Raw genomic sequence first — 25058 nt, forward strand, 5'->3', positions numbered from 1 at the left:
CAGAACCACAAGTCAGAGAAGCGTTGAAAAGTTCAGAGGTTCTAAGAGTTAATTAACAAATTGGTCTTTGTGAATATATCGCTAAACTACCCAATTATTCTTTCATCTTTTAACTATAATCCATTTAAAAGTTTCCAATACTAAGCAAAATATCACATTTCTTTAAATAATTTTCTTTTTTTTTTTTTTTTGAGACAGTCTCACTTTGTCACCCAGGCTGGAGTGCAGCAGCAACCTCCACCTATCATATTCAAGCAATTCTCGTGCCTCAGCCTCCCCAGTAGCTGGGATTACAGGTGTGTACCACCATTCCTGGCTAATTTTTTTGTATTTTTAGTAAAGACAGGGTTTTGTCATATTGACCAGGCTGTTCTCGAACTCCTGACCTCAGGTGATCTGCCTGCCTCAGCCTCCCAAAGTGCTGGGATTACAGGCGTGAGCCACTGCGCCCAGGCTAATAATTTTTTTTTTTTTTTAATAGAGACGGGGTTTCGCTATGTTGCCCAGGCTGGTCTTGAACTCCTGGGCTCAAGCGATCCACTCACCTCGGCCTCCCAGAGTGCTGGGATTACAGGCTTGAGCCACTGTGCCTGGCCCAAAAGATTACATTTTTTAATAAAACAAATAATACAGACTCTTACCTTAAATTTAGGATAGTCATTCATGAGGATCGTCACAATTCCAATATAAGGAACAAATCTAAAACAAACAAAAAACTGATTATCACAGAATTTCCGATGTAAAGCAGCTGTTGTCACTCACTGAATATTATCAATATCTTCTATAGAATACTAATTTTCAATTCACAAAGTCCATTTCTATATACTGCCCTATTTGATCCTTGCAAAAGCCCAAGTGATAGGAAAGTTAGGAATATCACCATTTTAGAGATGAGGAAACAGATGATCATGCCCAAGGTACATGGTTTCTGTGTGGCAGAACCAGCACCAGATAGAGCCAAGGTCTTAGATCTCCAGGTGGTGACTCTAATGCTACATGTTGATACAGTGCTAGGGGCTAGGTTTATCATCATAACCTTCAGGAAGCTGTCAATCTAGCTGGGGAGACAAAGCAAGCACAGCCAGAATATTACAAAGTACTTCATGTTAAGTGGCCAAAAAGTGAGTGTAAGAGCTCATTATAGTACTTAGGATTTCACCACCTTCTCATTTTTTAATCACCTGTAAGCTGTGTTTGGTCCTATTAACTTGAAACTTTTCTAGAACAGTTTTCATCACCATATGTAGCAAACCAGTCTCAACTCCCATCTTCCTTTCCATCTTGGCAGCATTTGACTTTCATGACCACAAATATGCTCTGGAAATTCCTCCTTCTTGGTTTCTTAATGTACCACAGATTTGTTTCTTCACCTAACTCTTTGGCTGCTACACTTTCTTTTCACTAGCTCTTTCTAATTCCTCATGCCCCTAAAGTTTTTCCCCTCAAACTAAGCAAAACCACCTGTTAAATTATCTTACAGCACCTGATACATTTCCTTTGAGGTCTTTATAATAATTATCATACTTTTACTTAAATAATTAGTTGTACAACAGATTCGATACATGTGTGTCTCCCCTACCAAACTAGAAGCTCTATAAAGGCAACAATGATGCCTATCTTGTTCCCCCTGTATCCTCAAGGTCAACATAGTGCCTTACACATAGGAGATATCCAGTACATCCTGCCTGATTGAATGTCTGAATGTCCGGGCCTTTTCTTTTTGCTTTCTCTTGGGGAAATCCTATTTTCTCCCAGGGCTTAAATTCCTCTCCATGCAAAAGACTACTTTGACATCATAAGCATTCACGGCAGAAAGAGAAAATTAGCAGGGTACCATCGATGTGGGCGGAATAGGTGGTTAGCAAATGTAAAACTTTCTTCTTTATCCTCCTCTTCTATCGCTGGACTCCAGAGCGGACTGGCAATATTGTACTAAGCTAGAGCCTGTCATAGGGACGCTGAGCTGAAGTGGAGGCTGACCTTTGCACACTTTAAAACAGCCCAGACCATGCCAAAGACAGCACAAACAGAAATTACCTCCCACATAATATCTACACCATCAAAGCCTCAGGCAAACTTGAAGAACACACATTTTGTTTTTGACACATTTCACTTCCCTTTAAGAACTCGCCTCTGCCTCTGCCTCTGCCCCTGACCATGCCCCTGCCCCTGCCTCTGCCTCTCCCCACGGTCTCCCTCTCCCTCTCTTTCCACGGTCTCCCTCTGATGCCGAGTCGAAGCTGGACTGTGCTGCTGCCATCTCGGCTCACTGCAACCTCCCTGCCTGATTCTCCTGCCTCAGCCTGCCCGGTGCCTGCGATTGCAGGCGCGCGCCGCCACGCCTGACTGGTTTTCGTATTTTTTTGGTGGAGACGGGGTTTCGCTGTGTTGGCCGGGCTGGTCTCCAGCTCCTAACCGCGAGTGGTCCGCCAGCCTCGGCCTCCCGAGGTGCCGGGATTGCAGACGGAGTCTCGTTCACTCAGTGCTCAATGGTGCCCAGGCTGGAATGCAGTGGCATGATCTCGGCTCGCTACAACCACCTCCCAGCCGCCTGCCTTGGCCTCCCAAAGAGCCGAGATTGCAGCCTCTGCCCGGCCGCCACCCCGTCTGGGAAGTGAGGAGCGTCTCTGCCTGGCTGCCCATCGTCTGGGATGTGAGGAGCCCCTCTGCCTGGCTGCCCAGTCTGGAAAGTGAGGACCGTCTCTGCCCGGCCGCCATCCCATCTAGGAAATGAGGAGCGTCTCTGCCTGGCCGCCCATCGTCTGAGATGTGGGAAGCGCCTCTGCCCCGCCGCCCCGTCTGGGATGTGAGGAGCGCCTCTGCCCGGCCGCGACCCTGTCTGGGAGGTGAGGAGCGTCTCTGCCCGGCCGCCCCGTCTGAGAAGTGAGGAGACCCTCTGCCTGGCAACCGCCCCCTCTGAGAAGTGAGGAGTCCCTCCGCCCGGCAGCCACCCCATCTGAGAAGTGAGGAGCCCCTCCGTCCGGCAGCCACCCCGTCTGGGAAGTGAGGAGCGTCTCCGCCCAGCAGCCACCCCGTCCGGGAGGGAGGTGGGGGTCAGCCCCCGCCAGGCCAGCCGCCCCGTCCGGGAGGTGAGGGGCGCCTCTGCCCGGCCGCCCCTACTGGGAAGTGAGGAGCCCCTCTGCCCGGCCACCACCCGGTCTGGGAGGAGTACCCAACAGCTCATTGAGAACGGGCCATGATGACAATGGCGGTTTTGTGGAATAGAAAGGGCGGAAAGGTGGGGAAAAGATTGAGAAATCGGATGGTTGCCGTGTCTGTGTAGAAAGAAGTAGACATGGGAGACTTTTCATTTTGTTCTGTACTAAGAAAAATTCTTCTGCCTTGGGAAAAAAAAAAAAAAAAGAACTCCCCTCACTTCCTGTCTCTTGTCTTCACCCCTCTCTGTCCTCTCCCTTCTAGCAGGATCACTGAGACCTGTCTCTCTTGCCCCATCCCCAAACTCCCATTCCATACACTGGTGTTTCTTAAAGCCTAGACCTCCTCTGTCACAACCGCTTGATGGCTTGTTAAAAATGCAGATTCTTGGCTGGGCACGGTGGCTCACGCCTGTAATCCCAGCACTTTGGGAGGCTGAGGCGGGTGGATCATGAGGTCAGGAGATCGAGACCATCCTGACCAACATGGTGAAACCCTGTCACTACTAAAAATATAAAAATTAGCTGGGCATGGTGGTGCACGCCTGTAATCCCAGCTACTCAGGAGGTTGTGGCAGCAGAATCGCTTGAACCCGGGAGGTGGAGGTTGCACTGAGCCGAGATTGTGCCACTACATGCCAGCCTGGCGACAGGGTGAGACTCTGTCTCAAAAAATAAAAATAAAAAATAAAAAAAATAAATAAAAATGCAGATTCTTGTATCTTTCCCAGACCAACTAAGCCAGGGAATTTCTGAAAGGTGGGGCCCAAATAACGCTCCTGTACATCAAAATTCAAGAAGTACAATTTTAGTGTGAGATGCACATATAGGTGTGTGATGGCAAATAATATCCCTTCTTAGGGTTCATGCTTTCATCTCAACCCCTGGGATCTCCAAGAGCTGAAAAGTAACAGTCGTTAAAGAATGGCACGGCTAAGCTCTAAGAGGATGGATAGAGGTTTTCTACATTTTATATATATTTATATATATATATTATTTTTCCTTTTTAATGCAGTAACTGTTATTTCTTTTGTCTCATTTTTAACACTTCCATAAAAGCAATAGCTTTCAGTAAATCACCTAATTTAAGAACATAAAGGCAAATGCCTCACAGTAAAGTACAGATTAAGAGCTATAAAAGCATCTGTGATTTCTACTAAAACATTAAGCTGCTAATTCTGATCTGATGATCAATAAGCAGCCATTCTAATACACAGAGACTCTGTTACCTCCATGCAATGATATCTATGCCCAAAGAACCACAATCCTCAGCTCCCAGCAATCACATAGCCTGCTTGTGAATAATCCATGGAATTTAAAAAAAAAAATTTTTTTTTTGATACATGATCTTACTCTGGCACCCAGGCTAGAATGCAGTGGTGTGATCATAGCTCACTACAGCCTTGAACTCCTGGGCTCAAGCAATCCTCCCACCTCAGCCTCCCAAGGAGCTGGGACTACAAGTGCACGCCACCATGCCTGGCTAATTTTTAAATTTTTTTGTAGAGACAGCATCTCACTACCTTGCTCAGGCTGGTCTCAAACTCCTGGGCTCCAGCGGTTCTCCCATCTTGGCCTCTTAAAGTGCTGAGATTACAAGCGTGAGCCACCACACACAACCTGAAACTTTTTTTTAAAGGTTGGCTTTTCTTTGCCCACTGTAAGTGAAATGAAAGCAACTTGGTCTTTAGGAGTAATATAAGCAAGATCTAAGGATCCCAGAATATGACGAGGCAGTTCAAAGTCAAACAAAAGATTTAATTGTCTGTACCACTGTTACCCTCCATGGACAGAGATAAGCAAAGAGCTGATAATCAAGTGTATAATGCTGCTATCATCAGTCATCTTAAATTCAAACCATTTGCACTTTTTGCCTATTTTGCTCAGATAAACTCATGTGCTAAAGCAGAGTTGCTAATAAGCAGGAGGTTTAAAGTAAGTAAAATGAATGCCATCCACAAAGCCAACTCCAACACTAGCCTGTGCCAAGTTAATATCTAGAAGGTAAAATGCATTTCATATAGTTAAATACATTTCCGTGGGAATTCTTGGGATCAAAGGTACTGCTGAGGAAGTAGCCTCAGAAGAAAGCACTGTCTCCTGATGCTCATAGAGATCATTAGACAAAAGGCCAAACAAACAGTAAAGAAAAGATGCCACAAAAATTAAGAAGAGACCCCAGCACAATTCTGTCAAATATCAAAAGGGGTCTATATCTGGGAAGTCTGAAATCCAGCAGCAACTAAATGAGAGAGTAAGAGAATATGCGATGACCAGAAAAGGATCATCTTGTTTCTAGAATGACTTGTTTCAAGTAAGAAGTACATTCAAAAAGTCTTATCCATAAAACTGATTTCAGTTAACAGAGAGCTCAATTACTCTACTCCTTCCTTATATATTTTTAATTCTTCTTTCCATTTTCAACATTTCTGTTCCCCGATCCTCTGCCAATCTTTCACCCTTTTCACCTGCTGCTTTCTATTCCTTCTTAACTAATGGGTGCTCTTGAATTTTTCAACTTCCTGAGTTTAGAAAGAAATCACCTTTATTAATACTTAATTGGTTCAGTATTAGTTTCATTTTCTAAAATTGTTTTTATTACATGCTACGACATGAATAAGCCTTAAAAACATTATGCTAGGTGAAAGAAGCTGGACACAAAAGACTACGCATTGTATGATTCTGCTTATATGAAAAGTCCAGAATAGGGAAATGCACAAAGACAGAAAGCAGATTAGTGGCTGTCCGAGGCTACAGGAAGTAGAGGATGGGGAGTGACTGCTAATGAGTACTGAGTTTTATTTTTGGGGTGATAGAAATGTTCTGGAATTAGATAGTGGTGATGGTTGCACAATCTTGTGAATATACTGAAACCCACTGAATTGTACTCTTTAAGATGGTGAATTTTATATTCTAATATATGTGAATTATATCTCAATAAAAGTTTTTTTAAATTATTTTAATTTAGAGCCTTAGGCCTCAACATAAAATTTTTTTAGTGTGCAGCTGTTAAAAAAAAAGAGAGAGACCAGCCTGGCCAACATGGTGAAACTCCATCTCTACTAAAAATACAAAAAATTAGGTGGGCATGGTGGCACATGCCTGTAATCCCAGCTAATTGGGAGGCTGAGGCAGGAGAATTGTTTGAACCTGGGAGGTGGGGGTTGCCGTGATCATGCTGTTGCATGGGCAACAAGAGTGAAACTCTGTCTCAAAAAAAAAAAAATTTTTTTTTTTTTTAATGCATAAAGGAGGCGGAGTGCAGTGGCTCACATCTGTAATCCCAGCACTTTGGGAGGCCGAGGCGGGCAGATCACCTGATGTCAGGAGTTCGAGACCGCCTGGCTAACATGGTGAAACCCTGTTTCTACTGAAAATACAAAAAATTAGCTGGGCATGGCTAATCCCAGCTACTCAGGAAGCTGTAATCCCAGCTACTCAGGAAGCTGAGGCAGGAGAATCCCTTGAACCTGGGAGGCAGAGGTTGCAGTGAGCTAAGATAGCACCATTGCACTCCAGCTTGGGCAACAAGAGCAAAACTCCATCTCAAAAAAAAAAAAAGCATAAAGGAAGCCAGGCACAGTGGCTCACACCTGTAACCCCAGGACTTTGGGAGGCCAAGGTGGAGGACTGCTTGAGCCCAGGAGTTCAAGACCAGCCTGGGCAACACAAGGAGAGCCAATCTCTACAAAAATTAAAAAAATTAGCCAGGTGTGATAGCATGCACCTGTGATCCTAGCTACTGAGAAGGCTGAGGTGGGAGGATTGCTTGGGCCTGGGAGGTGGAGGTTGCAGTGAGCCATGATTCTGCCACTGCACTCCAGCCTGGGTGATAGAGTGAGACTCTGTCTCAAGAAAAAAAAAAGCATGAAGACGTATGTACTACAGTAACAGACTTGCCTGTGGAAAAGCTCTATTCTTAAGATTTGTGTACATCCTGACTTTGAAATACCAGTTTAGTGTTTTATAAACACAATTTCCACAAAAGAAAGTGTTATGTTCCATTACGTGTCAAGCTCAGTAGAGGTACAATCAATGGAAAGTAAATTTATATAGTTAAGATTCTGTGCTTCTGCTGTTCATGTCTTAGGTTTTTTTTTTCTACAGAAACTTCCTTAATGCAGAGAGTACTAGACTATTACATTTTTTTAAGTAACAGCTCAAAATGGTCTATAGTTTCTATGTTGGGATTTTAAAAATAGCATTAAATAGTGTGGAATTTTTTCTTTTCTTTTTCTTTTTTTTTTTTTTTTAGACAGAGTGCCGCTCTGTCACTCAGGCTGGAGTGCAGTGGCGTGATCTCGGCTCACTGCAAGCTCCACCTCCCGGGTTCATGCCATTCTCCTGCCTCAGCCTCCAGAGTCACTGGGACTACAGGCACCCGCCACCACGCCCAGCTAATTTTTTTGTATTTTTAGTAGAGACGGAGTTTCACTGTGTTAGCCAGGATGGTCTCGATCTCCTGACCTTGTGATCCGCCCGCCTCAGCCGCCCAAAGTGCTGGGATTGCAGGCGTTAGCCACCGCACCCAGCCCAGAATTTTTTCAAAAATTGTCCAGAAGACAAGTTGAGTGAAAGCTCCCCTAACCTTTCGTAGGATGATGCATCTTTTACCCAACCAATGGGCCAGAGTGAGCAGACAGAGCTGTAATAAACACTTAAGAATCAAGACCCAGGCCAGATGTGGTGGCTCATGCCTGTGGTCCCAGCACTTTAGGAGACCATGGTAGGCAGGTCACTTGAAGCCAGGGGTTCCAGACCAGCCTGGCCAACATGGCGAAAACCCATCTCTACTAAAAATATAAAAAATTAGCCAGGAATTGTGGCACACACCTGTAATCCCAACTACTTGGGTGGCTGAGACATGAGAATCATTTGAACCTGAGAGGCAGAGGTTGCAATAAGCTGAGATTGCTCCACTGCACTCCAGCCTGGGCAACAGAGCAAGACTCTCCAGCCTGGGCAAAAGAGCAAGACTCTGCCTCAAAAAAAAGAAAAGAAAAAAAAAAGAAGGCCCAGATAAAGGAACACTCAGTTGTACTAGCAGGAGTATAAATGAAACAGGCTTGGCAAAATTTGTCAAAAGCCTTAACATATGAGTATGCTTCACCCAGTAATTCCACTTCTAGGAATTTACTCTGAAGAATGATTGGGCAGAAATGCTGAGATATACATAATAAGGATATTTATCATAACATTGTTCGCAATAAAAAAGCTGGAAACAATCAGAATACCTAACAACAGGAGACTGACTGAATAAAATCTATATGTTCTATCCATAGGATAGAGTATATGGTCTTTCCATACAGTGGAATAGCATACAGCTTTGAAAATGATGATATGATGATAAATATATTGATTTGTAAATACGCTAGTAATTTTTTGGGTAAAAAAGGGGTTATAAGATAGTGTGACCATTCTCCTTTCACACACAAAATGCGTTTTATGTTTGTATAAATATGTACATACTAGGGCTGGGTGCCGTGGCTCATGCCTGTAATCTCAGCACTTTGAGAGGCCAAGACAGGTGGATCATTTGAAGCTGGGAGTTTGAGACCAGCCTGGGCAACATATCGAGACCCCATCTCTACTAAAAATACAAAAAATTAGCTGGGTGTGGTGACACACACCTGTAATCCCAGCTACTCGGGAGGCTGAGGCACAAGAATCTTTTAAGCCCAGGAGGCAGAGGTTGCAGTGAGCTGAGATCATGCCACCCACACTCTAGCCTGGGTGACAGAGCAAGACTGTCTCCAAAAAAAAAAAAGGCAAAAAAAAGTACTCATTAATATTTTTATCTCTACACACAAAGGCTAATATAAACCAAAAAGTTAATAGTAAATATTTATGGAGATCAAGAAAAAGGAGACAAGAAGTGACTTTGCTTTTTGATTATTGATATTTTCTTATGTTTCTACATGAATCTGTACATTTATAATTTGAGGAAAAACAAAGACTCAAAGAGATTGGAGAGTTTAAATAATCACATTAGCAGCATCTTGGGAACTGAGGAAGATGGGGACTAGTATTTCTCAGAAGCACTGATGACCTAATTTGGATTATAAAAGTATTTTTAGCTCCATCAAAGGAAAAGTTCCTTAAAGCGGGGACATATTAAAACAACAATAACAACCACAGCTCTGCAGCAGGCAAAGCACAATGATACCTGTTCTGATCTGATCTCTTTGGCCCCAAACTGAGCATCTCTCGTGCTGTAACTGAGGAAGCTTTCACTTAGCAACTCATACTTCCTTCTCTATGGGAACTGCGTATCTCAGACCTGCTTACTGGTGTAATAACTCTGTATCCATACAGTCTGTTCTAGGTCAAAAGGAGCAGAGGTTCTGACAGTGGCAAAAGTGCCATGTGGCATCTAACTAGTGAGAATTAGCAACTATCCATTTCAGAAATGTTACGCTAGTAATTTTTGTATGATGGTAAGGTGGACTATGCAGCCAGCCACTTACGACCATCAGTATAATCTTAGATACATAACCTAACTCATTTATGTTTCCTCATCTGTAGAATGGGAATATTAGGGTTGTTCTGAGGTTAAAATGTGGTAATACTTGTAAAGCACTTAGAATGAGTCTCTGGTACACAATAAGCCCTAATAAACGTGAGTTATTGTTAATACTATTAATTACATTAAGGGAGCAACAATGCCATACTTCCTTAATACCAACAACTTACAATTCCTGTCCTCCACTGAACTGTTCTCCTGATAAAATCTGAAACAAACAGGCTTAATATAACTTTTTAATTTCATTCAACCTCATCAATTTCAAGACTAGAAATATTATGGATTAAATTAACATGATAAAACTAATTTGGATGAACACTTTTGAGTTATTGACTTAGTACTTCTTAAGAAATATAAATATAACGCCATCTCTACTAAAAAAAAAAAAAATTAGCCGGGCATGGTGGCGGGCGCCTGTAATCCCAGCTACTCGGGAGGCTGAGGCAGGAGAATCGCTTGAACTCAGGAGGCGGAGGCTGCAGTGAGCTGAGATCGCGCTATTGCACTCCAGCCTGGGTGACAGAGCAAGACTCCATCTCAAAAAAAAGAAAAAAAAAAAAAGAAATGTAACTTTCATGAGGCAGGATTAATAGTGCTCTAGACCCCCAGAGGCTAGCATAGTGTGGACGTAAGAGCACATGGAAGGTGCCCACTATTTCTTGAGTGAACCAAATAAGTGAACACATTTTTTAAAATTGTCACATCCAATTCACCATCTCATCACTAGTATTCTATTCTTTTATTGCACCCCACCCAGTTCCTCACCTTTGGAGTAGTATACCTGAAATTTTAGACACTTTTTAAGAAGCAAAATTTTCAAAGGACACAAGGGTGATTTGGTGGAACCAGAACCAAATCTCTATATTCAACTGTGTATGATCAAATAATATGATTGAGAGGGCCACACTTCAAGTGATATAAAAAGTTTGAGATGCTCCCCTCTATACTTACCCCCTGGCTCTCCCCACAACATCTTTTTTCTCTAGCCAATGTTGTCCTTGTTTATAGAGGCCTCGGTCATCAACCGCATTATTATCTCCTTTGGTCAAAAACTTGATATGCCCATTTTGCCTTAAAAGAGTAAAGGAAACCCAAGTCATCAAATACCTTCATGGCATTTAAAGCACAAAATCTGTTCTTGTTAACCAAACATGTTTGTGGCACTGGGGTATCTTTTCACCATTCTAGTGTCGAAATAATTATTTATGGAGCTACAAGAATGTTAATAGCTGTGTTGTTCATAAACGACTAAAAACAAACTAAAGATCCAATATTAAGGAGCTCAAATATTATGTAAACATTAAAATAATGGTATAGAAGAATGACAAGATTGTACAAATTTTATTAAGTGAAGAAAAGAATACAAAATAGCATGTACAGTACAATCTCATTTTTATATTAAAATAAATACACACTACCAATTTTCTGGAAACACAAAGAACAAAGGAACACAATAAACTATCTCACAGGATATAATTGGCAAGATACAGACTATGGGAAACTACAGAATAACCCAGTTTCTCCAACTAATGACTTGCAAGGAACAAAGAAAGTTAGGGAAGTAACCTACAGATTAAACAAGAGACGGCCAGGCGCGGTGGCTCACGCCTGTAATCCCAGCACTTTGGGAGGCCAAGGTGGGCGGATCACCTGAGGTCAGAAGTTCGAGACCAGCCTGGCCAACATGGCGAAACCCTGTCTTTACTAAAAATACAAAAATAAGCTGGGCATGGTGGTGGGTGCCTGTAGTCCCAGCTACTCAGGAGGCTGAGGCAGGAGAATCACTTGAACCCAGGAGGCGGAGGTTGCAGTGAGCCGAGATCACGCCACTGCACTCAAGCCTGGGCGACAGAGCGAGACTCCATCCCAAAACGAAAAAAACAAAAAAACAAGAGAGTATAAAGCCACATCAACTAATTGCAGCTGAGAACTTTATCTGGGTCCAGATTCAAACAAATTGTTTAAGAAAGTTATGACACAATTGGGGATTTGAACAAATATCAAAAACTTGATGATACTAAAGAATTGTTTGGCCAGGGGCAGTGGCTCACTCCTGTAATCCTAGCATTTTAAGAGGCCAAGGTGGGTGGGTGGATCACTTGAGCCCAGGAGTTCAAGACCAACCTGGGCAACATGGCAAAGCAAAAAATACAAAAAAATTAGCCAAGCATGATGGTGTGCGCCTGTGGTTCCAGCTGAGTTAAGAGGATCACCTAAGCCCAGGGAGATTGAGGCTGCGGTGAGCTGTGATTGCGTCACTGCACTCTAGCCTTGGAGACAGAGTGAGACACTGTCTTGAATAACAAATAATAATAACAGGAAGGGGAAGAGGTGGGAGTAGAGATGGAGCAGAATTGGCTATATATTAATCATCACTGGGACAGGGATGATAGATACATGGGGGTTCCTCATACCCTTCTGTACATGTCAGAAACTCCCCAAATTCAGAAAATAAAAGCAAAAAAAAGGTATTAGACAAGATCTAAAATAATACAGACCAATGGATAAACAGACCAATGGATAAACAGTGGCTATCTATGGCTTTCTTTAGATTACCTTTATCTTCTTTTTTCTCTAACAAACATGAATTACTTTTATATTAGGAAAAAATGTTAGCTTTCAAAGAAGAAATACCTCAATTCTTCAGATATGCCAGGGTTTACAGGAACAGTATTTTGTTTTTTTGTTTTGTTTTGTTTTGTTTTGAGACAGAGTCTCACACTGTCGCCCAGGCTGGAGTGCAATGGCATGATCTCGGCTCACTGCAACCTCTGCTTCCTGGGTTCAAGCGATTCTCCTGCCTCAGCCTCCCAAGTAGCTAGGATTACAAGCGCCCGCCACCACACCCAGCTATTTTTTTTGTATTTTTAGTAGAGACAGGGTTTCACCATGTTGGCCAGGCTGGTCTGGAACTCCTGACCTCATGATCTGCCCACCTCGGCCTCCCAAAGTGCTAGGATTACAGGCGTGAGCCACCGTGCCCAGCCAGGAACAGCATTTTGTTGATCAGAAAATTATTAGCTTAATTCTACTAAAGAACCATGAAGTTTCTAGTAATTTTAAAATTTAATTGAAAGCAAAGTATATTTTACAGTTGATAAAGACTAGCTGAAAATTAATTCAAAGTGCATTTGGATTGACCACTGTAGTAGAAAGAAGAAAATTAGCTTCAGGTTTCTATGGGCTAATATCCACTTAGATTCTAAGCCGGAAACTGGCTCACTAGATGTTAAATCTGCAGAGGAAACTAAATTGGGAGGTGTTGCAAACACCAAAGATGGTTAAGTGCAAACAGTCACATTAAAAATAAGATGCCAGTTAGAAAAAATGCAAATATATACAGAGAAAAATAATCTGTAGCTGACAATTCAGTAAGTGAAAAAAGGAAAAATTCTGAAGGGTAAAAGAGGACAGGTGCTAGGAGGGGCTCACTGCAAGAGTGAAAGTCAGGAACAGCAGGAAGGAAAACTGAATTCAACCCAGAAAACAATATCAACTCCACACATGCAGAAAAGGCAAATCAGATATGAGGAGATAAAAATCCAGGAAAAGGGGAACTCCCCAGAAAAAGGAAAGGGTGCTAGAGAGATCTGGACTATTACCAAAGACTTGATTTGCTGGCAAAACAAACAAACAAACAAACAAACAAACAAACAAACAAACTAACTAACACACCCAATTTCCCCTTCTGGGATGTAATCAGGAGTTATCACTATAGTTTTTTTGAAAAAGCATAGATATTCTTCATCTACTTAGTGAAACAAATATTCTCTGGTGGCAACCGGCTCTTATTAGACCTATTTTTTTTTTTTGAGACGGAGTTTCGCACTTGTCACCCAGGCTGGAGTGCAATGACGCGATCTTGGCTCACTGCAACCTCAGCCTCCCGAGCAGCTGGGATTAAAGGCGTGCACCACCATGCCCAGTTAATTTTTGTATTATTAGTAGAGACAGGGTTTCACCATGTTGGTCAGGCTGGTCTGGAACTCCTGACCTCAGGTGATCCGCCCTCCTCGGCCTCCCAAAGTGCTGGGATAACAGGCCTGAGCCACCGCACCTGATCTTACTAGACCTATTAAGTCCTACTCCAGCATTTCACAAGTCATAGGCTCAAAATACTGAGTGAAGGCATATTTACATAGGATTTTTCCCTTGCTGGAACAAGGACCAAATATTTAATATTATCTACTTCTAGGGAGATCAAAGAGTTTAGAATTTAATTCACCCATCACAATACTGTGAAATTAGGAAGAAGGAAATAACCACTTTACAGATGAGAAAAAAATAAGACCCCAAAAGCTAAATGGGTACAGAATAATGTATCCATCTGCATGGGAAAAGCAAAGCTAAGGATTAAGTCACCCAATGGTAAAATTTCTCTTTCCAAATACTTAATCACATGCCAGTGTTCAGTATCATCCAATTATAATATCTCCTGATATGGTTTGGCTGTGGTCCCTACCCAAATCTCATCTTGAACTGTAGTTCCCATAATTACCACAGGTCATGGGAGGTACCCAGTGGGAGGTAATTGAGTCATGGGGGCAGGTCTTTCCCAAGCTGTTCTCATGATAGTGAATAAGTCTCATGAGATCCAATGGTTTTATAAATGGGAGATCCCCTGCACATGACCTCTTGCCTGCCGACATGTACAACATGGATTTGCTTCTTCTTTGCCTTCTGATTGTGAGGCCTCCCCAGCCATGTGGAACTGTGAGTCCATTAAACCTCTTTCCTTTATAAATTACCCAGTCTCAGGTATGTCTTTATTAGCAGCATGAGAACAGACTAATATACCTCCTATAGGATGAACCTACTAAATACATACATTTTGAATATTATTTGTCCCCATATTTAAGAACAATGTTAATACTATTAAACCAAATGGGGCTGGGTGCAGTGGGTCATGCCTGTAATCTCTGCACTTTGGGAGGCAGAGGTGGGTGAATCATTTGAGGTCCGGAGTTCAAGACCAGTCTGGCCAACATGGTGAAACCCTGCCTCTACTAAAAATACAAAAATTAGCTGGGCGTGGTGGCAGGCGCCTGTAGTCCCAGCTACTTGGGAGGCTGAGGCAGGAGAATTGCTTGAACCCAGAAGGCAGAGGTTGCAGTGAGCCAAACTCGCACCATGAACTCCAGCCTGGGCGAAAGAGCGAGACTCCGTCTCAAAAGAAAAAACAAAAAACAAAAAAAACCCAAATGGTAATCCTGACCAGATATTTCAGTCTCCCCAAAAGAAAAAAAGAAAATTGAAAATTTCTGAATATTAACAGGGTCTGTTATCTACACAGGCCTGCAAGTTGAAGGTATCTCAAGAGTCTGAAATAAATCACCAAAAACCCCAGATTACAAGTACCATATTTAAAATCATCAGAATTCTGTACAAAATTATTTTAAAAATTTAAGGATTTTCCAATTAATATATTCTCTGTCTATGAATCTGCCCAGAAGCAGTTTTAAACTTAAGTCTATGACTCATTCAATTTCTTTTTCTTTTCTTTTTTCTTTTTTTGAGATACAGTCTCACTCTGTTGCCCAGGATAGAATAAAGTGGCATGATCTCGGCTCACTGCAGCCTCAACCTCCTGGGCTCAAGTGATCCTCCTACCTCAGCCTCTTGAGCAGCTGGGACTACAAGTGCACACCACCGTGCCTGACTCATTTTTTTTTTTTTTTTTTATTTGTAGAGACAGGGTTTCACCATCTGGTCTAGACGCCCAGGCTGGTCTAGAGCTCCTGCGCTCAAGCACTCCACCCGCCTCAGCCTCCCAAAGGGCTGGGATTACAGGCATGAGTCACCACACCCAGCCAAACTCACTCAATTTCAAAGGATCACAAATTAAAATGGAGAAATTTTCCTCCAGCTTAAACAAGGCCTGAGCTTAATTTGATTCTCTCTGATATATTTAGGGGAAAGTTGGTTCAGCTTTGTTCACAACAGGCATTGCTGAGAATGAACAACACAAATCCACTTTCAGAATCTGGAAAACACTATCCATGCTGAATAAACCTCTGTAATTCCAAAATAAATTTCTTTTTTTTTTTTTTTTTTTTTTTGAGATGGAGTCTCACTCTGTCATTCAGGCTGGAATGCAGTGGCGTGATCTCAGCTCACTGCAACCTTAGCCTCCCAGGTTCAAGTGATTCTCCTGCCTTAGCCTCCTGAGTAGCTGGAGTTACAGGTGCCCACCACCACGCCTGGCTAATTTTTATACTTCTAGTAGAGATGGGTTTTGCCATGTTGGCAAGGCTGGTCTTGAACTCCTGAGCTCAGGTGATCTGCCCGCCTCAGCCTCCCAAAGTGCTGAGATTACAGGCATGAGCCACTGCTCCCGGCCCCAAACAATTTCTAAAAATTTAAGTTATTCCTTCCCAGTCAATAATATAATGTCACTTTAAATTATAGTATTTCCACATACATACTGATATCTGATTTTATTAAAAAAAAATAAGCAGTCATATCTTTATTTCACCAATGAAGAAAGAACTCTTCTAAACTAGAATGTTTATAGGAATTTCAAAAAGCAATGGTTGACAGTTTCCTCTTCTTTCAAGAACTGAAATCCACCAGGTGCAATGGCTCATGCCTGTAATCCCAGCACTTTGGGAGGCCAAGGCAGGCGGATCACTTGAGGCCAGGGGTTCGAGACTAGCCTAGCCAACAAGGTGAAACCCTGTCTCTACTAAAAATACAAAAATTAGCTGGGCATGGTGGCACATGCCTGTAATCCCAGCTACTCAGAAGGCTGAGGCATGAGAATCACTTGAGCCTGGGAGGTGGAGGTTGCAGTGAGCCGAGATAGCGCCACTGCATTCCAGCCTGGGTAACAGAGGGAAACTGTCTCAAAAAACAAACAAAAAAAGAACCGAAATCATGCCTACTCTTTCACTTCTCGTCTGTGTGTCATACAGGATGCCTCCCTTTTCTTTCATTTCTTTCTTTTTTCTTTTTTGAGACAGGGTCTCACTCGGTCGCCCAGGCTGGAGTGCAGTGGCACAAACACGACTCACTGCAGCCTCAAACTCCTGGGCTCACACAATCCTCCCACCTCAGTCCTCCAATTAGCTGGGACTACAGGCACATGCCACTACGCCCAGCTAATTATTTATTTATTTATTTATTTTTTGAGATGGAGTCTGGCTCTGTCGCCCAGGCTGGAGTGCAGTGCTGCAATCTTGGCTCACTGCAACCTCCACCTCCCAGGTTCATGCAATTCGCCTGCCTCAGCCTCCCAAGTAGCTGGGATTACAGGCGCCCACCACCACACCTGGCTAATTTTTATATTTTAGTAGAGACAGGGTTTCACGATGTTAGCCAGGCTGGTCTCGAACTCCTGACCTCAGGTGATCCACCCACCTCGGCCTCCCAAAGTGCTGGGATTACAGGCGTGAGCTACCATGCCTGGCCTTTTTTGGTTTTGTTTTGTTTTAATAGAGAAGGAGTCTCACCATGTTGCCCAGGCTGACCTCAAACTCCTGAGCTCAAGCCATTCTCTCACCTTGGCCTCCCAAAGTACTGGGATTGTAGGCGTGAGCCACTGTGCCCAACCAGAAGATTCTATTTAGGATCTATCTTTATGTCATAGTTTTTTGGAATTATATACAGAGTCACTGACAGGTTGGGAAGTAAAAGGGAACAAAGAAAAACCTCTGGAAAAACCTTCAGGGAAAGAAATGAACTAATAAATAATTATTTACAGTTTTCAAAATGTTCACTAAACTTTCCAGCATTCATAAAAATGGACTGGAAGAAGGCCTAGAGGTTCCTCACTGTTTTACAATCTTTAGGCTATCAAAACTAAATACCACAAACACTTAAACAAAAGCACTTAGAAACAAAGATGCTATACTTTGCACATACTTTTCATGAATCTTCAAGACTCGGTGAACTATAGGAATCTCTCTTCCTTCTATCCTAAAAACAACAATTTCTCCCACTCGTATGGGATCTTCAACTCGATTTGTTAGAAAGAGAAGATCTCCTCTATGAAATGCAGGTTCCATGCTGCCACTGGAAGGGAAAGAAGAATATAACAGCAAAAAGAAAGTATGAGATTAAATGTACTTTCAAAATTAGATATTCAACAAAATAAAAAATATCACTTTGGGAGTATACTCAATACCCTAACAACTATATCAACAGAAATGTGTATTGTTCTCAAAATATGGTTTCCTCAGACTAAAAAGTTACGCCAAAGGATTTTTTTTTAGTTATTAACCTTCACTAACTAGTTCCATTTCAAGTATCACTAGTCAAAGAAGCTTAAATCTTGAAAAGGTCAGTGTTACTAATTCCTTAACCTTTTAAAATTTCAAATGACAAACAGAATATAAAAGAATGAACTTTAAAACAATGCCCTTATTCTCACTTCATCTGAAAACACTAAACATATTCAGATATGCAAATGAGAACTGGATCATCTTCCTCTGCCATTTATAAAGATAACAGCCAAGATGACCTTATATGTTCAACTCATTTAGAAGGAAAAATGGCTCATCAAGTCAAGGAACAGCCAGCTACAGAGATAAAGCTTGTGTTATCAATTTACTTATTTTAAAAAGAGAAAAAAAGAAAACCAAGGAATAAGCAGAGATTTTTGCCTAAGAATTTCCGAAGCCAGGAAAAGATTCAATTCCATGGTAACAAGTAAGACTAACTTCTACAGAGTATCTTCTTACCTCTTACCTCTTCCATCCTACGCCAAGTGCTGAAAAGGTCCTAAGATATTTGCACTAATTTATGAACCCCTTTTTATCTATAAAGAAGTAGCCCATCAGTCTTTTTCAGAAACTCAAGCTCCGGTTTTCTATAACAACAGCTTAAGTAAGAATAGAAAGACAAGAAATAAAGTTCAACGCAGGAATAAGTACAAACTCCAAACACTTTTGTTTAAAGACTCTCTTCCCTCTATGTAAAGGGATATGGCAGTGGGTCTCAAATTTTGCTGCACATTGGAATGACCTGAGGGACTTTTAAAAAATCTCAGCCAGGTGCGGTGGCTCACACCTGTAATTCCAGCACTTCGGGAGGCCGAGGTGGGCAGGTGACCTGAGGTCAGGAGTTCGTGACCAGCCTGATCAACACAGTGAAACCCAGTCTCAACTAAAAATACAAAAATTAGGTGAGCATGGTGGCGCACGCCTGTAATCCCAGCTACTCAGGAGGCTGACGCAGAAGAATCACTTGAACCCAGGAGGTGGAGGTTGAATGGGCTGAGATTGCGCCATTGCACTCCAGCCTGGGCAATACAGTGAGACTCTGTCTCAAAAAAAAAAAAAAAAGAAGAAGAAGAAAAGAAAAAAAAGAAAAGAAAAGAAACTGGGGGCCAGGCACGATGGTTCAAGCCTATCATCCCAGCACTTGGGAGGTTGAGGGGGGAGGATCACTTGAGATCAGGAGTTCAAGACTCAGTCTCTGTAAAAAAAAAATTAGCCAAGTGTGATGGCACACTCCAGTCTGGGCGATGGAGGGAGGCCCTGTGTTAAATGTTCTTATCACAAAAAAATAGAAAGGGAAGAAACTTTTGAAAGTGATGAATATATTCACTTGCTTGATTGTGATGATGGTTTCACAGGAATATACTTACCTGCAAATTGATCAAGTTGTATACATTAAATATGTACAGCTTTTTGTATGTCAATCATATCTCGATAATTTGGTTAAAAAAGAGTAATCTAAGTACTATTACTTAGGTTCTAGATAATGTTAATGCACTATTATTTAGATTCTAGATAATATTAATAATTCCATTTATTTTAAATATGCACTCCATTATCTCCAGAAAAGATCTGGGCTTACAAAATTAAGCCCAAAATATGACAAAACTGTAATGTTTCTTTTCTTTCTTTTTTTTTTTTTTTTTGAGACAAAATTTCAATTGTCACCCAGGCTGGAGTGCAATGGAGCGATCTCCGCTCACTGCAATCTCCGCCTCCTAGGTTCAAGCAATTCTCCTGCCTCAGCCTCCTGAGTAGCTGGGACTACAGGCGCCTGCCACCACGCCCAGCTAATTTTTGTATTTTTAGTAGAGATGGGGTTTCAACATGCTGGCCAGGCTGGTCTCGAACTCCTAGCCTCAAGTGATCTGCCCGCCTTGGCCTTCCAAAGTGCTGGGATTACAGGTGTGAGCCACCACACCCAGCCTATAATGTTTCAGTCAAACAACCAAGTGGTAATTCTCTAAAAATGAGTTACTAAATTAGGTTTTAAAATCACTAAGAGTGGTTGCGCATGGTGGCTCATGCTTGTAATCCCAGCATGTTGGGAGGCCAAGGTGGGAGGATCCTTGAACCCAGGAGTTCAAGACCAGACTGGGCAACACAGTGAGATCCTATCTGCTACGGTTTGGCTGTGTCCCCACCCAAATCTCATCTTGAATTCCCACGTGTTTTGGGAGGGACCCAGCAGGAGGTAACTGAATCATGGGGCAGGTTTTTCCTGTGCTGTTCTAGTAACAGTGAATAAGTCTCACGAGATCTGATGGTTTTAAAAAGGGGAGTTCCCCTGCAAAAGCTCTCTTCTCTTGTCTGCCGCCATGTGAGACCTGCCTTTCACCTTCTGCCATGATTGTGGGGCCTCCCCAGTCACGTGGAACTGTAAGTCCAGTAAACCTCTTTCTTTCGTAAATTGCCCAGTCTTGGGTACGTCTTTATCAGCAGCATGAAAATGGACTAATACACCGTCTCTACAAAAAAATTAAAAAATTAACCAGGCATGGTGGGGCAGGCCTGCAGTCCCACCTGCTCAGGAGGCTAAAATGGAAGGATCCCTTGAGACCGGTAGGTGGAGTCTGCAGTGAGTTATGACGGCGCCACTGCACTCTATCCTGGGTAACAGAGCGAGACCCCATCTTTAAAAAAAATATTCACTAAGAGTATGAGTGCAAAGATAGGGAAGGAAGCAGAGTGGAGAAAAAAAATTCAGTACTATTTGTCACCATAAGAGATGGTATTAATGCCTTCAAAATTCCTGGAGTCTAGTTTAGAAGTGATATTTAAAGGTCAGCAGGAAACTTGGAAATAATTAGTGATGATTCTATCCTGACATTGAGAACATGCTACAGAAAAACTCTTAATTTGTGGAAGTACTATAACATCTAATGAACTAACAACTAAATATCAGGCCTGGTGTATCAAAATGAGGAATATAAAAAGACAGAAGAATTTCAGGAAAATAAAGTACAACGAGACACTTTATTAAGGGATGTGACAAAAACAAACCTTAACATGGTAACTTTTTTGTAGAAAGGTCATGAGCCCTTTGGAGTTCTGAATGGAAATGCCTAACAAAGTAAGAATTTCTTTTCTCTCTTTTTTTTTTTTTTTTTGGAGACAGGGTCTCGCTCTGTCACCCAGGCTGAAGTGCAGTGGTGCAATCACAACTCACTGCAGGCCTCAACCTCTAGGGCTTAGGTGATCCTCCCACCTCAGCCTCCCGAGTAGCTGAGACTACAGGTCCATGCCACCACACCCGCTAATTTTTGTATTTTTTGTGGAGACAGGGTTTCACCACGTTGCCCAAGCTAGTCTCAAATTCCATAGCTCAAGTAATCCACCGGCCTCAGCATCCCAAATTGGTGGGATTACAGGCATAAGCCACCGTGCCCAGCCTGAGAATTTCTTACAACTGATAAGTAGTGACTAATTTTCTTCCAGGCCCTTTTCTGGAAAAGAGTAGTTTCTAAGAGAATGATATGCCAGTTATTTCATATCTCAATTTTTCTCCCAAGTAATGCCATGCAATTCCATGCCTTGAAAGGAAAAACTGTTACCTGAGCACCACTACAATCGGACTTTCACTTCCAGTTATTACCATTAACCCCTTCCAGATCATTAGTGCCGATGAGACAATCATTCCAAAATTTAGGACTTGATAATAGAGCTGCAAGAACAAAACAGAAGAGATCAGATCCACCATTATCCCCACTTCGGAAAGCAACTGAAAGCAGTAACAATTTGAAAGTTTCAAGCAGTACTATTAGGACAACTACAGTTCTGAGACATTCTTTAATACATTATAATAATTATGCCATCAGCAGATCAAAACAGGCCCCCCTTCTTTCACCCAAAGCACCCTGCTCCATTTTGTTTGGTAAAACATCAGTTACATTTATATAACACCATATTATTTTAAGAACATTTCACACAAGTTATTTCATTTGGGCTCCATAATCATTCAGCTTAAATTTATCACTCATGCTACTTACCAGCCAAGAGTAATCTGTCTCTGCTTCTGAACTCCTCTATTACTTTTTCTTTTTCTTTTTTTTTTTTTTTTTGAGATGGAGCCTCGCTCTTGCTCAGTCACCCAGGCTGGAGTACAGTGGTGCCATCTCAGCTCACTGCAACCTCTGTCTCCTGGGTTCAAGAAATTCTCCTGCCTCAGCCTCCCGAGTCGCTGGGACTACAGGCATGCGTCATCACGCCCAGCTAATTTTTTTGAATTTTTAGTAGAAACTGGGTTTCACCATGTTGATCAGGCTGGTCTCGAACTCTTGACCTCAAATGATCTGCCCACCTCCACCTCCTAAAGGGCTGGGATTACAGGCGTGAGTCACCACACCCGGCCCTCTATTACTTTTCTACTATACTTATCCCTTGATAATCATGGGAATAGTTAATGACATTTAACTCTACCTTCTCATTTTACAGTTAAGGAAACTGTCTCGAAAAGAGGAGACTTCACCAAGTCCTAAGCTTATCAGTCACATAGTCAAGACTTGAAGGTCAGCCTTCTTACTAAATTTCCAGTACTCCAACAAACTCTAAAATTCTGTGACTTGAATAAACAGATAAAACACCAGACGGCATTTCAATTTCAAATAAAGAAAATTCAGAACACGTGGAAAAAGGCAAAAAATATTACAAAATCAGATAAGATAAATAATGTGAGCTAACTGTTTTGGGCCAAGGCTGGAAAAAGTATAGAGAGGATGACTAGACACCATGGCAAATAGTTCAAGGAAAAAGCTGGTACTGGAAAGTACTGGGAGAAATCTGAAAAAGCATATATTAAGGTCCAACTATGAAGAAACTTAAACACAGGACTGAAACTGTGGATCTAACAAAATATTAGTAATATAAAGTGAAAAAACAGAAGTTTCAAAAGGTCTTACTCTGTTGCCCAGGCTGGAGTGCAGTGGCACAATCACAGCTCACTGCAGCCTCCAACTCCTGGGCTCAAGCAATCCTCCCACTTCAGCCTCCCGAGTAGCCAGACGTGGTAATTTTTGTATGTTTTGTAGGGATGAGGTTTCGCCATATTGCCCAGGCTGATCTTGAACTCCTGGGCTCAAGCAATCCGCCTACTTCAGCCTCCCAAAGGGCTGGGATTACAGGTATGAGCCACCATGCCTGGTCACTTTTGTTAATATTTGCTTGTGGACATTCTACACAACTGTCCTAGTCTCTTCAAAAATCCAATGTCATTCAATGTCATGGAAAAAAAGGTGGAAGACTGTTCTAGATTAAAAAGTACTAAAGAGATATAACAACCAAATGTAACGCACAAACTTTGGTTTCTTTGTTGTTTTTTTCTTCTCATTCAGTTCTAATAATGCACAAACTTTGGCTGGATCTTGGTTCAAAAAAAAAAAAGCATAAGAAAAAATCTGAATATTTTGGGGTGAACTGGGGAAACTCAAAATATGATTTGAATATTAAATGACATTAGGAAATTCATGTTTTCTTTTTTTCTCTTCTTTTTTTTTTTTGAGACAGGGTCTTGCTCTATCACACAGGCTGGAGTGCAGTGACATGATCTCAGCTCACTGCAACCTCTACCTCCCAAGTTCAAGTGATTCTCGTGCCATAGCCTCCCAAGTAGCTGGGATTACAATGGGCATGCATCATCACGCCCGGCCAATTTTTGTATTTTTAGTAGAGACGGGGTTTCACCATGCTGGCCAGACTGGTCTCAAACTCCTGGCCTCAAGCAATCCACCCGCCTTGACGTCCCAAAGTGCTGGGATGACAGATGTGAGCCACTGTACCCGGCCTCTAATTTTCTTAAATTATGTGATAATGGTGTTGTGGTTATGTGGAATACTATCCTTATCACAGGAGATGCATATTAGTAGTAGTTAGCTAGTAGTTGTAGTTAGGGGTGAATTCTCATATCTGCAACTCATTTTCAAGTGATTCAGCAAAAGAAAATTCTATATATGCACACACACATAAGTATACATAGAACAAATATGGCCAAAATGCTAATAATTGTTGGATCTGTGTGACAGATTACAGGTGTTCCCTGTACTGTTTTTTCAATTTTTTCTGAAAAATTCCAAAAAATGCATAGAAAATATGGAAGAAGCCAGGTGCAGTGGCTCACATCTGTAATCCCAGCAATTTGGGAGGCTGAGGTGGGTGGATCACTTGAGGCCAGAAGTAGGAGACCAGCCTGGCCAACATGGCGAAACCCCATCTCTACTAAAAACACAAAAATTAGCTGGGTGTGGTGGGACATGCCTGTAATCCCAGCTACTCAAAAGGCTGAAGCACAAGAATCACTTGAACCCAGGAGGCGGGGGTTGCAGTAAGCTGAGATCGCACCACTGCACTCCAGCCTGGGCAACTGAGCAAGACTCTCTCAAAAAAAAAAAGGAAGAAAATAAAATAAATGTTAGTTGTTATATTTGGGGGTGTAATACTAGGCAATTCTTATTTATTTCATTTTGATCATCTACATTTTCTACTTCCCTTTTTAAATCAATTGTTATTTTTAATCAAAACAGTATACACACATACATACAAGAATATGTAAAAAAAAGCAATATCCTAGCCATGGCAGGCCACCTACATCAACCATTTTCATCTCTTCTAGCTATTCATTCTGGTGTTTACCCCAACCACTCTAAAAACTGTTTGTTTACTTTCATACTAGGGTGTTAATGCATGATGTTCAAAATGTACAATGAGGGGCTAGGCACAGAGACTCATGCCTGTAATCCCAACACTTTGGGAGGCTGAGGTGGGAGGATCACTTGAGCCTAGGAGTTCGAGACCAGAAAGCAAGACCTTTATCTCTACAAAAAAAAATACAAAAAAAGGCCGAGTGCAGTGGCTCACGCCTGTAATCCCAGCACTTTGAGAGGCCGAGGCAGGCGGATCACGAGGTCAGGAGTTTAAGACCAGCCTGGCCAACATGGTGAAACCCCATCTCTACTAAAAATACAAAAATTAGCCAGGCGCAGTGGCGTGTGCCTGTAATTCCAGCTACTCGGGAGGCTGAGGCAGGAGAATTGCTTGAACCCGGGAGGTAGAGGTTGCAGTGAGCTGAGATCGCACCATTGCATTCCAGCCTGGGCGACACAGCAAGACTCCATCTAAAAAAAAAAAAAAAAAAAAAAAAAAAAAGAAGGTAGAGGAAAATTTAGCACA

General features: G+C 42.1%; 1 protein-coding gene across 7 annotated transcripts in view, besides 1 other annotated feature; it reads right to left on the reverse strand.

Annotated features, from left to right (window-relative positions):
- Positions 1-25058, reverse strand: part of SEC11A (SEC11 homolog A, signal peptidase complex subunit) — a 46596-nt gene that overhangs the window by 540 nt on the left and 20998 nt on the right. For 2 of the 7 annotated variants that reach the window (NM_014300.4, NM_001271918.2), the window contains 4 exons: positions 21452-21561; positions 17542-17691; positions 10630-10749; positions 642-699 (listed from right to left, as the gene is read on the reverse strand). In NM_014300.4, coding sequence (NP_055115.1) covers positions 642-699; positions 10630-10749; positions 17542-17691; positions 21452-21561 — 438 coding nt within the window. Of the gene's footprint in view, positions 1-641; positions 700-9142; positions 9205-9848; positions 9887-10629; positions 10750-17541; positions 17692-21451; positions 21562-25058 lie in introns of all 7 variants that reach the window. The other 5 variants (NR_073518.2, NM_001271920.2, NM_001271921.2 and 2 more) reach the window with 5 other exon arrangements.
- Positions 16405-16904: an enhancer, noted in NCBI's record as "H3K27ac hESC enhancer chr15:85229719-85230218 (GRCh37/hg19 assembly coordinates)". NCBI's record gives its function as "activates a minimal SCP1, AML or CMV promoter by ChIP-STARR-seq in primed H9 embryonic stem cells {active_cell/tissue: H9 hESC(primed)}" and the evidence as "EXISTENCE:reporter gene assay evidence [ECO:0000049][PMID:30033119]".

The sequence above is a fragment of the Homo sapiens genome, chromosome 15, assembly GCF_000001405.40.
Source record: "Homo sapiens chromosome 15, GRCh38.p14 Primary Assembly".
NCBI lineage: Eukaryota > Metazoa > Chordata > Mammalia > Primates > Hominidae > Homo > Homo sapiens.